General features: G+C 39.6%; 1 annotated feature.

The window, feature by feature from the left end:
- Positions 12,568 to 13,469: an enhancer, noted in NCBI's record as "VISTA enhancer hs762". NCBI's record gives its function as "enhancer in: hindbrain (rhombencephalon)[5/7] | midbrain (mesencephalon)[5/7]" and the evidence as "EXISTENCE:transgenic organism evidence [ECO:0001131][PMID:17130149]".

The raw sequence follows: 15,780 nt of genomic DNA, 5'->3' as shown, positions 1-15,780 counted from the left end.
TAGCAGACAAGAAAACCAACTTATGAGCAGAAAAGGGCAAAATGCCAGTAAAGTGAACCATCAAACTTAAAATCCTGTCCATAAATGAGTAACAGTAGAAAAAAAACAGACTTTATCCATGACAAACTACTGCAAAATGTCAGAATTTGTGAACAGCAAGTTAAGACACTGAAAAAAGAAATAAAACACAAAGGTTAAGAAAATTATAACATTGCACTTTAAGCAAGCAAGAACATGAGGATATTAATAAACACCTTGAATCAGAAATACAAAAACTAAAAACAGAAATAAACAAAAAAAGGAAGAAATAAAATGAGTTAATTTTTCTGATGAAGGAAATAGAAAAAAGCAAAAACACACACACACATTTTAAAAAGACCAAATTACTGTATGCCAAGTGAGAATAGATTTAAATGCAAATTAATAAAAGGCATTAAAGAAAATCAGGAAAGCATCAAAGAAAATAAAAACAAGATAAAGAAAGAAATGAAAAGACTCTGGTAAAATGATTAAATGGAAAGCCAAAAAAGAAAAAAAACAGTAAATATTTATTTATACTACTCGTGTCCCTGAAGAAAAAAAGTCAAAACAATGTAAAATAATTAATATTTACACTACAATACAAAAAAAAGAGAGAGCGAGCCTTCAGAAATAAAAGAAGAAATCACACATTGAAAAGGCTTAGCAGGTACCAGAGAAATTGATCTAGAATGATGCAACCTGAGACATAAAGAAAGCAAAAATCTTTTGGGGCTCTGGCCAAAAAGATGAAATAAATTACAAAGCAAGAGAATTAAATTGTTACCAGGTTTCTCAGAAGCAACATGAAAAGATAATAACAGTGGGATCGTATTTTCTAGAAACTCAATGAAACAAACAAGTGTGAACCAAGGATATTATATCCAGTCAATCAGTCATTCAAATTTTAAGGTTATAGAAAAAGTTTTGCATGTGCCTGAACTCAGGGAATACTGTAAGCATGTGCCCTCCTGAGACATCTACTTCAGGGTGTTTCATCCAATCATGAAATCACTGGAAAAATTCCCCAAAAGAGGATTTCATACATTCAATTGTAGAGCTAGGACTAAAACAATTGTGGGGTAAATGTTTGAAAAATATTATGGAAATATTACGTATTCATAGGCCAGGCATGGTGGCTTACGCCTGTAACCCCAGCACTTTGGGAGGCCGAGGTGGGCAGATCACCTGAAGTCAGGAGTTCAAGACCAACCTGGCCAACATGGTGAAACCCCATCTCTACTAAAAATGCAAAAATTAGCTGGGCGTGATAGCAAGTTCCTGTAATCTCAGCTACTCAGGAGGCAGGAGAATCTCTTGAACCCAGGAGGCAGAGGTTGCAGTAAGCTGAGGTGGCACCACTGCACCCCATCCTGGGCAACAGAGCAAGACTCTGTCTCAAAAAATAAATAAATAAAATTTTAAAAAAGAAATATAACATGTTCTTTCTAAGTAGAAAGAACACAACTAAACATCGGGAAAAAAGAATGAAAGGGGAAAGTAAAATATTCATTGAATGCTGCATAGATAATAAATGGGAAGCATAAGATACCGTTTAAAACTGACAAATGGTAAAAGGCTTAGAAAGAATAAAGGGAATTAAGGGCATTATAAACAGTATTAATACAAAGATAACCACTTGTGATAGGCAGAATAATGGTCCCTCCCAAAGATATTTCTGTCCTAATTCTCCCATTCTGTGAATATGTTAGGTAAATGGCAACGGGAAATTAAAGTTGCAGATGGAATTAAGGTTGCTAATCAGTTGATCTGAAAATAAAGAGATTATCCCGAATTATGTGAGTGGGCCTAATGTAAACATGAGGATTTTTTAAAGTGGAATAGAAAATCAGAAGAGAGAATCAGAGACATGACAGCATGAGAAAGATGCAGCCCAACATTGCTGGTTTTGAAGATGGATGAAAAAGGCTGTGAGACAAGAAGAGCAGGCAACCTCTAGAAGTTGCAAATGGCAAATAATGGATTCTCCCCTGGATTCTCCAGAAGAAACACAGACTGGCTGACATCTTAATTTTAGCCCAGAGAAACCCATTTCTGACATCTGACCCATAGAACTTAATTTGTGCTGTTTCATGCCAGTAAGTTTGTAGTAATTTGTTACAGCAGTAATGGAAAATTAATATACTACTAAAATAAAAAGAACCTTCCTATATATCAAAAGATATTTTAAAAAGAAAAGAGAGCCAAATTAAAAAAAACATAACGATATACACAGTTATTACAACATAAGATAATATGACAGAATTGAGACAAAACATGTCATTTTAACAAATACGAACAGGTTTAACTTGCTTATTAAGGGGAAAAGATTTTTAAATTGGCTTATAAAGTAAAACCCAACTATATATTCTGTGTAAGGCATATGGTTAAAACATGATAATTCAGAGTTTAAATATAAAAGGATAAACAAAGACTTAGCAAAGAAATTGAAACAATAAGAAAGTAAGAGGTTATAATTCTAATACCAAAGAATACTTCAAACCAGAAAGACTTAGATAATGAAGAGATTATAAATATTGCTATGAATGCAAGATTTCTAAAATCTATATATATGAGCATATGTTTATGTGCATGTGTGTGCGTGTGTGTGTGTGTGTGTACATATATGTACATACACACTTATCCCTTACAGGTGTTTTTCACTGATAACTTTGATTACCCAGTCATGATGTTTGATGTTTCCCTAATATATACACACACATATATATACAACTATAGATATATTTGTATAAGTATATATGCAGCTGAACCTCTCCACTGAAATGATCTCTCGCTAAAGCTAATAATAACTCACTAATTACCAAGCCCAAAGGCCACTGAATAGTTACTATCTTAGTTGCCCTCTTTTTGGCATTTGATGCTTTTGAGCACTTTTTTTTCTATAAACTACTTACCCAGTTTACTTGTGTGTTAGCATATTCTCCTTAGTCTCATTCTTCAGGGTTTTTTTCAGGTTCTTTTTTTGACTTACCTTTAAACAATGGTGTTTTCTAGGCCTTCACTCTTGATCTTTTCTTGCTGAATAAACTTTCTGGGCAGGATTTTTCAGTCCAACAACCAGTAACTTCTAACATCTCTATGCTGATAACTTCAAATTATGTCTTTACCTTCAGTTTTTTTTTTAATTTTTTATTTTTTACCTGAATTCAAGACTCATTTGTCTACCTATCTTCTAAATATCAAAGGCATTCAAATTATGCTTGTCCAGAATTGACCTCATTTTTTTAAAACTCCCAAATGTGTTCCTTCTTTTATATTCCCTCCTCTCTTATGAAACCACATAAATCAAATCACCCAAACCAAATCTAGCAGATTAGACTTCTCACTCTCCCTGCATAACCAATTGGTCATTAAATCCTATTGACTCTATTCCTTAATAGGTTTTATATAATTTACTTCCTTTTCTTCTCTGATTTAATTCAAAGTTTGAATACAATATGGAGCTTATATTCCATCTCAGGTTTAGGAAGTGGGAAATATAATAAGTTCAGTTTGGGAGGGTGCTGATTTTTAAGGCAAATGAGAAACAATCAACAGGATATACTCATCAGAGACATGGATTCCTGAGCTCAAATATCAGAGAAGAGGACAAGCTGGAAATGAAAGTACAGATTCGAGAACCCTTAGAATATAAACTGTAGTTAAATTCATGAGAGTGTGGGCAGACAGCAGTGGACCAAAGCTAGAAGCCTCGTGGCCTCTAATTCCTTATGGGAAGAAAGCTTTGCTGCTCTATTAGTCCATTTTCATGCTGCTGATAAAGACATACCTGAAACTGGGCAATTTACAAAAGAAAGAGGCTTATTAGACTTAGAGTACCATGTGCCTAGGGAGGCCTCACAATCATGGTGGAAGGTGAAAGGCACATCTCACATGGCAGCAGCAGGAGAGAATGAGAGCCAAGTGAAACAGGTTTCCCCTTACAAAACCATCAGATCTTGTGAGACTCATTCACTATCACGAGAACAGCGCAGGAAAGACCCACCCCCATAATTCAATCACCTCCAGCTGGGTTCCTCCCACAACATGTGGGACTTGTGGGAGTTCCAATTCAAGATGAGATTTGGCTGGACAGAGCCAAACCATGTCATTCTGCCCCTGGCCCTTCCCAAATCTCCTGTCCTCACATTTCAAAACTAATCATGCCTTCCCAACAGTCCCCCAAAGTTTTAACTCATTTCAGTGTTAACTTAAAAGTCCACAGTCCAACATCTCATCTGAGACAAGGCAAGTCCCTTCTGCCTATGAGCCTGTAAAATCAAAAGCAAGTTAGTTACTTCCTAGACACAATGGGTACACAGGCATTGGGTAAATACAGCCATTCCAAATGGGAGAAATTGGCGAAAACTTTCAGGGGACCTGCTCCGAAAATCACATAGGTTCTTTTCTATTTTCCTAAGCATCGGCTGGCTTGAGAAATAAAGGGACAGAGTACAAAAGAGAGAAATTTTAAAGCTGGGCATCCGGGGGAGACATCACACGTTGGCAGGATCCATGATGCCCCATAAGCCGCAAAAACCAGCAAGTTTTTATTAGGGAGTTTCAAAAAGGGAGGGAGTGTGCGAATAGGTGTGGGTGACAGACATCAAGTACTTAACAGGGTAATAGAATATCACAAGGCAAGTGGAGGCAGGGTGAGATCACAGGACCACAGCTCCGAGGCGAAATTAAAATTGCTAATGAAGTTTCGGGCACCATTGTCTTTGATAACATCTTATCAGGAGACAGGGTTTTGAGATCAAAGTCTGACCAAAATTTATTAGGCAGGAATTTCCTCTTCCTAATAAGCCTGGGAGCGCTTTGGGAGACTGGAGTCTATATCACCTCTGCAATCTTGACAATAAGAGACAGGTACGCCCCGGGGGGGCCAGTTCAGAGACGTACCCCTAGGTGTGCATTCTCTTTCTCAGGGACGTTCCATGCTGAGGAAAAGAATTCAGCGATATTTCTCCCATTTGCTTTTGAAAGAAGAGAAATATGGCTCTGTTCTGCCCAGCTCACCGGCGGTCAGAGTTTAAGGTTATCTCTCTTATTCCCTGAACAATTGCTGTTATCCTGTTCTTTTTTCAAGGTGCTCAGATTTCATATTGCACAAACACACATGCTATACAATTTGTGCAGTTAATGCAATTATCACATAGTCCTGAGGTGACATACATCCTCCTCGGCTGACAGGATTAAGAGATTAAAGTAAAGACAGGCATAGGAAATCACAAGGGTATTGACTGGGGAAGTGATAAGTGTCCATGAAATCTTTACAATTTATGTTTAGAGACTGCAGTAAAGACAGACATAAGAAATTATAAAAGTATTAATTTGGGGAACTAATAAATGTCCATAAAATCTTCACAATCCACGTTCTTCTGTCATGGGCTTCAGCCGGTCCCTCCGTTTGGGGTCCCTGACTTCCTGCAATACAAAACAAAGGGGATACAGGGCCCATGCAAGTCCAAAATCCAGTGGGGCAGTCAAATTTTAAAGCTCCAAAACGATCTCCTTTGACTCCATGTCTCACATCCAAGTCACACTGATAAAAGAGGTGGGTTCCCATGGTCTTGGGCAGCTCTGACCCTGTGGCTCTGCAGGGTACAGACTTCCTCCTGGCTGCTTTCACAGGCTGGTGTTGAGTGTCTGCAGCTTTTCCAGGTGCACAGTGCAAGCTGTCAGTGGATCTACCATTCTGGGATCTGGAGGACAGTGGACCTCTTCTCATAGCTCCACTAGGCAGTGCCCCAGTAGGGACTCTGTTTGGGGGCTCTGACCCCACAATTCTCTTCCATACTGCCCTAGCAGGGGTTCTCCATGAGGGCCCCACCCTGCAGCAAACTTCTGCCTGGGCGTCCAGGCATTTTTATACATCTCCTGAAATCTAGGCAGAGGTTCTCAAACTCCAATTCTTGACTTCTGTGCACTTGCAGGCTCAAAACCATGTGGAAACTGCCAAGACTTGGGGCTTACACCCTCTGAAGCCATGGCCCAAGCTCTACTTTGGCCCCTTTCAGCCACAGCTGTAGCAGCTAGGACACAGGGCACCAAGTCCCTAGGCTGCACACAGCACAGGGACCCTTGGCCTGGCCCACGAAACTATTTTCTCCTAGGCCTCTGGGCTGTGATGGGAGGGGCTGCTGTGAAGACCTCTGACATGGCCTGGAGACATTTTCTTCATTGTCTTTGGGATTTACATTCAGCTCCTTGTTACTTATGCAAATTTCTGCAGCCAGCTTGAATTTCTCCTCAGAAAATGGGTTTTTCTTTCCTATCACATTGTCAGGTTGCAAATTTTCTGAACTTTCACACTTTGCTTCCCTTATAAAACTGAATGTCTTTAACAAGACCCAGGTCACCTCTTGAAAGTGTTGCTGCTTAGAAATTTATTCTACCAGATGCCCTAAATCATCTCTCTCAAGTTCAAAGTTCCACAAATCTCTAGGGCAGGGACAAAATGCTGCCAGTCTCTTTGCTAAAATGTAACAAGAGTCACTTTTGCTTCTGTTCCCAACAAGCTCCTCATCTCCATCTGAGACCACCTCAGCCTGGACCTTATTGTCCATATCACTATCAGGCTTTTGGTCAAAGCCATTCAACAACACTCTGGTAAGTTCCAAACTTTCCCACATTTTTCTGTCTTCTTCTGAGCCCTCCAAATTGTTCCAACTTCTGCTTGTTACCCAGTTCCAAAGTCGCTTCCACATTTTCAGGTATCTTTTCAGCAACACCCCACTCTCAGTAACAATTTACTATATTAGTCCATTTTCATGCTGCTGATAAAGACATACCTGAGACTGGGCAATTTACAAAAGAAAGAGGTTTATTGGACTTATAGTTCCACATAGCTGGGGAGGACTCACAATCATGGCAGAAGGTGAAAGACACATCTCACATGGCAGCAGCAAAAGAGAGAATGAGAGCCAAGCGAAATGGGTTTTCCCTTATCAAACCATCAGATCTCGTGAGACTCATTTACTGTCACAAGAACAGCACAGGAAAGACCTACCCCCATAATTCAATCACCTCTCATGGGGTTCCTCCCATGACACATGGGAATTGTGGGAGGGGAGTTACAATTCAAGATGAGATTTGGGTGGGGACACAGCCAAACCATATCAGCTACTGAAGCAGGGAATTTGCTAAATGGAGTGAATTCTTGACAGAGCTGCTTTGGAGAAATAAAATGGGGAGTCGACAAGGAATGTGCAGCATGGCTCTGGGGGAGTGGGGTTGTCGGGGCAGAACAAGGATGTGAGGGGTCCAGAATTCCAACCAAAAGACCCCAGGATGGACTATTATGGTGACTGTTCTGGATGGTGAGTGAAGGGAAGCCAGGCAGTGTGGGGGCTCTGAAAGACTCGCAGAACAAGAGCCAAGGAATGAGAGGTCACGATTAGAGCAGAGCATAGATGTGTAGTGTAAGTAAAAGAGCAAAACATAAGAAAGAATTTAGGTTGGGTCAGAAAATAGATCACTGAGATGCTAAAGGGTGATAATGTAAGAATGATTAGAATCAAGCATGCAAGAAAGCATAATTTGGAGGCATTGGCTGTGATGTCAACAAATATACTGAATCTCTCAAGTATTTTAGGTAGTTTGGGGGTGACCAGGAAGAATTTTACCCAGATATCAAAGTCCTCATTGAAGATTACAAAAAGAGAGGAAGTCTATAGTCACCCATAATATCTCATGATATCTTGAGAAAAAGCAAAGAACGTTAGTTTAAGATAATTGTAATTTTTAGGAAGTCTGATGTGGCTACAGGTCCAGAAACTTTGCTCTGGAAACTGATTTGGAAAATGGGGGACAGGGGAGTCAGGGATTGTGTCTGCTGTTGGGTCCTTGAATTGATCAAAGGCAAAACTCTGGAAAAGCAGTTTATATCTATATGCTTAGGAATTCAAAGGCCTCTAAACATTCTTTCTTTCTTATCAGCTTTCATTTTAAGCCCTAGAACTTCAGAAACTGCTTTACTAGTGAAGGGGGTGGCGGGGTCTGAAAGGAGAGAGGCTACTTTGTCTCTTTCTCTTGAAAATAAAATGGTACTTGGTAAGAAGTCTCTGGAGAAACAGCTGATTCACAGTTCCTCTTGTGACAACGTCACCTTGGCAGTGTTTCTCGGGTCACAGAGGATTTGAGCTTCTGTCATTCACACAGGTCACACTTGCCTGGAGAAGAAGGCAATTAGTATCCTTTCCTGGAAGGCCCACTGGCTTACCCTGAGACTTACTTTGTTTCTGTGACCTTTTTCTGCTCCTAGTTTTATATTTCTTATGAATGCTAAAGGAAAAGGGTTTGGGGCTGCATTATTGTTTGAGTAAATTTGTTTTAGCTGATTTTTTTTCTCTCTGATATTTTTTCCTTCTGATCATAAGCAGAGGTCATGAAAAGAGGTGGGACCTACGAAGACGATTACTCTGATAGTAACTGAGGAGAGTAGATGCTGAGAAACACACAGAGAAAAAGCAAAAGACCAAGAGATGGAGACAGACTACGGAAAGCTTCCAGAAATCCTAAAAAGCAGAAATGCTATGCCAATAAACACAAAAATGTCAAAGTAATAGATATTTCCATCAAAAAGTAAATTAGACATTCAAATTAATTATAAACATTAATTAACATTTAATTAATGGAAAATCCTAAAGGATAAAAGAGTCAGTGCCAGAAAAGAAAATTTAGAGATAAGATTCACTTAGATTTCACTGTATCCAATTCTAATTTTCCCTTCCAGAAAGGAGCAGGCTGTTTATAAACCTTTGAAAGGAGGAAGACTCCACCACCCCTTTCTGCCTTACCTTACTAGTAAGGTGGTAAGAGAAGATGTGTCTAGCTCTTCTAAATAGTCCCAGAGCTAGCCATATACAGAAGATTGAAGCTGGACCCTTTTCTTACACCATCTACAAAAATCAACTCAAGATGGATTAAAGACTTAAATATAAAACCTAAAAATATAAAAAGCCTGGAAGATAACCTAGAAAATATCATTCTGGACATAGGACCTGGCAAAGATTTCGTGATAAAGACACTAAAAGCAACTGCAACAAAAACAAAAATTGACAAAGGAGACCTAATTAAACTATGGAGTTCTACATAGCAAAAGAAACTATCAAGAGAGTAAACAGACAACCTACAGAATAGGAGGAAATATTTGCAAACTATCAGATGGATAGTTTGCATCAGATGGATGGTTTCCATCTGATAAAGTTCTAATATCCAGAATCTACAAGAAACTTAAACAAATTTACAAGAAGAAAAAGAAAACAATCCCATTAAGAAGTTGGCAAAAGATATGAACAGACACTTTTCAAAAGCAGATATATGTGAGGCCAAGAAGAGTATGAAAAAATGCTCAACATCACTAATCATTAGAGAAATGCAAATCAAAATCATGATTAGATACAACTCACACCAGTCAGAAAAGTTATTATTTAAAAAATCAAAAAATAACAGATACTGGCAAGGCAGTAGAGAAAAGGGAACACTTATACACTGCTGGTGGGAATGTAAATTAGTTCACCTATTGTGGAAAACAATGTGGTGATTTCTCAATGAACCTAAAACAGAATTACCATTTGACCCAGCAATCCCATTACTGGATATATATCCAAAGGAATACAAATCATTCTGCCACAAAGACATATTCTTGCATATGTTCATCACAGTACTATTCACAGTAGCAAAGACATGGAACCAGCCTAAATGCCTATCAATGGTAGCTACAAAAATTATAGTGGTAGACTGGATAAGAACTAGGGGTTACATACTCATCATAGAATACTACGTAGCCATCAAAAAGAATGAGATCATGTCCTTTGCAGCAACATGGATGGAGCTGGAGTTCATTATCCTAAGCAAACTAACATAGGAACAGAAAACCAAATACCGCATGTTCTCCCTTTTAAGTGGGAACTAAACATTGAGTACACATGGACACAAGGAAAGGGACAACATACACGAGGGCCTACTTGAGGGTGAGGGTCAAAAACCTTTTTATCAGGTACTATGCCAATTACCTGGGTGACAAAATAATCTGTACACCAAACCCTTGCAACATTCAATTTTTGTATATAACAAACCTCCACATGTATCTCTGAGCCTAAAATAAAACTGAATAAAATGAACAAATAAATAAACAGCCCCAGAGAAGAGTCGCTGAGCTCAATTCAAGTCTCAAACTAAAAAAAAAAAAAAAAAATGCTATGTTGTGAAGCAAAAGATTTGGAGGTAGAAATACCATATTTTCTAGGCAAACCCAGATTTCTATGCTCATACAGGGGCTTTTTTCCCCCACTTCTAAGCTTGGCTAAACATCCTGGTTACCACCATACATAATGGAGAGCTTCTCTTTTGCTGCATAATTACTAGTGCCTTAGATTCAACAGGTTTATTAGGGCTAACTCTATCAGGGGCTACACTACATGCTAGACCAATTCAAATATTTAGCAAACTCTATGAATATTTATTGATCATTTATTGATGTCATGGTACTGGGCCCAACACCCAACTTGGTATTATAGAGTGTACCAAAAAAACATGAATGTGATCTCTTACATTCTAAGGAGGAGAAAAGACATATGCATATGGGAAGATTTTAAAAGGACAATAAACACAGACCAAGTCAAATGAGAGACATTTACAGTAAGTAAACGAGGATAGAGATTGCTATGAGCTCAAGTACTCAGAGAAAACTTTTTTCATGATGTCTAATATACAAAGAATGGTGCATGACTAGATGTTTGTTTTAGAATATTATTCAGGTGACATTATTAAGGATGGATCTGAAGAAAAAAAGAAGACAAGGAAACTACTGCTGCATCAGCAATGATACACATTAACATGAGAGCAGTGGGGATGCAGAGAAACAGATGCATTTAAATCACATTAAGTAGATCTCTTGTCAGAACTTAGTGATTGATTGGAAGAGAAGTTGCCAAACAAGGAAGAGTTAAGAATGACACCCAAGATTTTTGTCTAAGAAAATTGTTTAGATGTTTTTTCCATTCACTGAGATGCGAATGCCTATGAAGAGACAGACTTCTGTGTTAGGTGTTATTCGAAATACAGAAATAGTATGAGATGTTGTCTCTGCCTGGATTCCACTTCCATTTTCTCTTTTTTTATATCCTTTATTTCTCGATATAGGGTCTTGAGTAGTTTCATTTCATACATTTATTTAAATATTGTGATGACCTAACTTACTGTCATGTTATCTTTATTTACTTCAGTACTTCTGCCAGGTTTATAGAAGTTAATTTGAAAATAAGCAGGCTGGGCGCAGTGGCTCACGCCTGTAATCCCAACACCTTGGGAGGCCAAGATGGGCAGATCACGAGGTCAGAAGATCGAGACCATCCTGGTTAACAAGGTGAAACCCCGTCTCTACTAAAAATTCAAAAAATTAGCCGGGCGTGGTGGCAGGCACCTGTAGTCCCAGCTACTCGGGAGGCTTAGGCAGGAGAATGGTGTGATCCCAGGAGACGGAGCTTGCAGTGAGCCCAGATGGCCACTGCACTCCAGCCTGGGCAGCAGAGCAATACTCTGTCTCAAAAAAAAAAAAAAAGAAAGAAAGAAAGAAAAGAAGCATAAATAATTCAAAACAAAGAGATTCAAAAGTTTATTTTGTGGGTTTCTCCCTAGCCTCCCACCCCTTACCAACTCTAACTTTTATAATTAAAAGGATACAAAGAGATTAAGACAGACTTTCAGACATCTTCAAAAACTGGTCCAGTCTGTAAAAATGCTTATGAACCTACCAAATATTCCCAGCTTTGCTTGTTTCTAAAGGGAGTTGTACACAAAGGTGATGAATGTTACAGTCCAGAGGCTAGAACTGAGGCTTTGAATTATACTTTCTTTACTTTTTTTCTATGAAAAATTCCAATTTTCTGAAAATTTGAGCTCTCAGCTAGAAATCTCTTAGGCTCTTTGATTCAGGCCTAAGACTGTGAGATGTGGACACATCTATATGGCTGGATTAAGCAGATCATTTCTAGTCTCATTTGACCTAGTCAAGAAGCCAGCTTTCCCCAAATTACAGGTTCTCCCGGGAAAAGGCTTCACTACCCCTGTCTATTCTACTTAGTGTCTGGAACTGATGAAGCAATGGATGTTTTGTGCAGGAGTAAAAGGAGAGAGGGGAATCTGCACATGTCAACATCATGTTGGCAGCAACATACCACCTCTCTACCTGTCTCGAGTTCCAGCAGCATAAGCATGTACCTGCCAAGATAGGAACGATGGAGAGAAGCCAGGGCCCGGGTAAAACGTCCCAACCGAAGTATTTCAAGTCAGTAATAATAGAAACTAGGCCTAGATAAGTCACTCAGAGCCCTGTCTCTCCAAGTGTTTTCCGTCGCATTCAGTGGAAAATGGTCTCTGTGTGCTGGTCCTCCCTCCCCTCCCCACTGATGAAGTATCTTAGCTCCCAATCAGGAGTATTCCTATAGTTCAGAAGTGTTTTCCACTGAGCCATGGCTGCGAAGACCAAACACATATGGCTACAGTAATCTCCCTGGTAAAGTCTTTCAGAATCCTTGGACTTTGAGTCTTTGCCAAGGGTTTACGGTTTGAGAGGTTTTTCATATATTTCCTTTTTGGGGGCCATGAGGAAGGAAGCCAACGGGATGATTTTGTAAAACGGGGAGCCACCCTAAAAACAAGTCAGTAACGGCAGCAGCAACAGCGGCAGCAGCAAGCCAGAGCTGAATTCCATTTAAATAAAATGCCAAAAGGCAGTCAGTGAAAGTGACATTTATGGTGTTACTACAAATGCATTCAGTGGGAAAGCTCAGTAGCAGAAGCAAGGGGGAAAAAAACAAGCTGTAGTGAAAACTGCCATCTGTATATTGTGCCCCGTTTTTAATATTCTGTATTCTCATAAAAAGTGTTGTTTCTGTCACTATTCAATCTCACAAACTCACACAGAACACTGTTAAAAGTCAGCAGTGTGTGAAATGGTATTTTAAAATAAATGAAACCCGCTCGCAGAGCTGCGGAGGAATATTGCAATGCTGGGCGCTGACAGACAGGCACTGAAAAGTAACAACCGTTATCATCTTAAAGCAAAGCGGATTAAATAAAAACCCACAGCCAGTGGTGCATTACCAAGTCTGATATTGACACAGCTGCTGTGGTGGTTATTTTTCATTGTCTCATCAAGACAAAGCATCATGGGATATCAATCTTCCCTCTGTCAGGCCATGCCTGGTATAAAGTTTTTCGTTTACATTTTCATTATATCCCTTTTATCGCCCGTGCCAGCATTTTTTCTTAACTGTGGGGTCCAATGACCTGTGGGGCAGTGTTGCGCTATTACCTTCGGGCCAGAAGAGCTCCCTCCTGGGGCAAAGGGTAGTTTGCCCCTCTTCCCCACCCCCATCACCTTTTAGCTGTCTTATGGCAAAGGATGTCCATTATTCTCTTGTGTTGGTGGATGATTAGAAACTGTAATGTGTGTGTGCTTGTATGTGAGAGAGAGAAATAAGGAGCAAGAGGGAAAGAGGTAATGACTGTGAGAATTAGAAGAGCATTTGAGGATGCTATTTTCTTTCTCTTTTCTCTGGGAAGAACAAGGATAGAAAATACACAGCTCCCTGGAGAACGCTACAGCTGCAAAACCAGGTTAATGCTTAACTTTTATACACCACTGTTTTATTTTCTAGACAGGCTCACTCTTTCCTGATTTGGCCTTTCATTCAGACGTTGGCTGATCTATGGAAAATGTATTTTAATTTAACTCACACACAAAAGAAAACAGTATATCTGAGAAAGATCACTCTTCTTTTGGGAGGCTGATAGAAGTATTCTCTACACTTCTCTCTCCGTCTCTTACTTCCCTTGTTTTGGAAGTTTATTAGTGTAATTTCTTTAGGAGAGAAAATTCAGTTATGAAATATTTTTCAGTATTTTAGTCTCTACTTTGTAAGTCATTGGCCCCGATGGCAGGGGAAACAAGTTTCCTTAGAAAAGTTTAGAAATTTGATTTTTTTTTTCAGATGGAGATAGGTGTAACAAAGAGAGTGGGGCTTAGAGATCACTTTTTGAGCATCTTCCACATGCCCTACGGGAGGGTTGGAAATGAATGTCAGGACAGGCTGAAAGCTTTGTGAGGTATTCAGAAGAAAGGATTGTTCCTCCTGTGTGTCTTCTGCACCAGCAAAAATTGAGTCAGGTCAAAAGATCTGTACAAGTTACAGTAATGTTAACTCGCTACTAAACACATGGCTTCAACACTTAACATCTGAGAGGTTTAGCCAAATAGAAGTTTATTTCTCACTTGCTTCACAATCGATGTGGGTTAAGGTGCCCTCCTACATCCTTTGAAACATGTGACCTCCAAGGTCACTGCTGAAAAAGAAGACAGTATCCAAATATTACACAAGAAGTTTTTAGGACCAGGCATGAAAGAGGTTTTCATCACTTCTGCCAACATTCCATTGGCCAGAGCTCAGGCACATGGCCTCACCCTAACTGCAAAAGAGGCTAGGAACCTTCTAGGAGTCTTCCTATGTGCCCTGAAAAAAAGTGCAGTGAATGCAATAAACTTTTATTGTTGGCCATGGAATCAGGATAGGAAAAGGAAGAGCAGTATAAAATAAGTAAGTGGAAAAGAGGATGTATTGCTGCAGTAAGGATCAATCTGTATGTTATCCCAGTACCCTTTGCCTTCCGTCAGGAAGCAGAGTCCATAGCCATGTTCCTCAGGCTGTGTTCTGGTTATCTATGGCCAGGTAATAACTACCCTCAGAACCGTGGCTTAAAACAGTCATACACATTAATTTTGTTAATAAATCTGAGGTTTGACGGGGTCAGTGAGACAGTTCTTGCTCAAGTGTCTCTAGTGAGATTGCAGCGAGAGAGTGGCTGGGTCACCCAAAGGTTCCTTTACTTACATGTCTCCTGCTTGGACTGGGAACACCCAAAACAGCTGGGACTAGAACATCTGGGGGTCCTTGGGCATCCCTCTAGAAGTGATCTTTCCGTGGTGTCTCTACATGCTGGTCTCATGGTGGCTGGGCTTCTCACATAGCAACTCAAGTTTCTCAGAGAGAATTTCCCAAAAGTAACCAGGAGTTGCAATGGCCTTTTCTAACAGAGCCTCAGAAGTCAGGCTGTATTAACTTCTGCCACATTTTCTTCATCAAGGCAGTCACAAATGTCTCCCTCTCCCCTAACTACCCCCTCAAGTTCAAATGGGGAGATAAAGATTCCACTTGGCTTTTAAAACCATAGCAAACTTGAGAAGTTTTTTGTTATTGTTGTTTGGTTGTTTTTGTTTGTTTGTTTGTTTGTGGGTTTTTTTGAGACAGAGTCTTTTTCTGTTGCTCCTGCTGGAGTGCAGTGTTGCAATCATAGCTTACTTCAGCTCCGAACTCCTGGGCTCAAGTGATCCTCCTGCCTCAGTTTCCCGAGTAGCTAAGACTACAGCCACACACCACCATGGCCAGCTAATATTTTATTTTTTGTAGAGACAGGGTTTCACTATGATGCCAAGACTGGTGTCAAACTCCTAGCTTCAAGTGATCCTCCTGCCTCAGCTTCCCAAAGTGCTAGGATTACAGGCGTGGGCCATTGCGCCCAGCTGAGAAGTTTTTAAGCTACTCATTTTGAGGACGACTAATGTTCAGACTAAATCTATGTCCTTGTAAATTCCTAGATGAAAATTAAAAAGTTAGCCTATCATGGAAATAACCCTAAAATGTTAGTAGTTGTATAACAGAAACGAAATTATGTGTGGATATGAGATTTTTTTCT

This window comes from Homo sapiens, chromosome 1, assembly GCF_000001405.40.
Source record: "Homo sapiens chromosome 1, GRCh38.p14 Primary Assembly".
Taxonomy (NCBI): Eukaryota; Metazoa; Chordata; class Mammalia; order Primates; family Hominidae; genus Homo; species Homo sapiens.
This window is presented reverse-complemented; position numbering and strand designations above follow the sequence as displayed.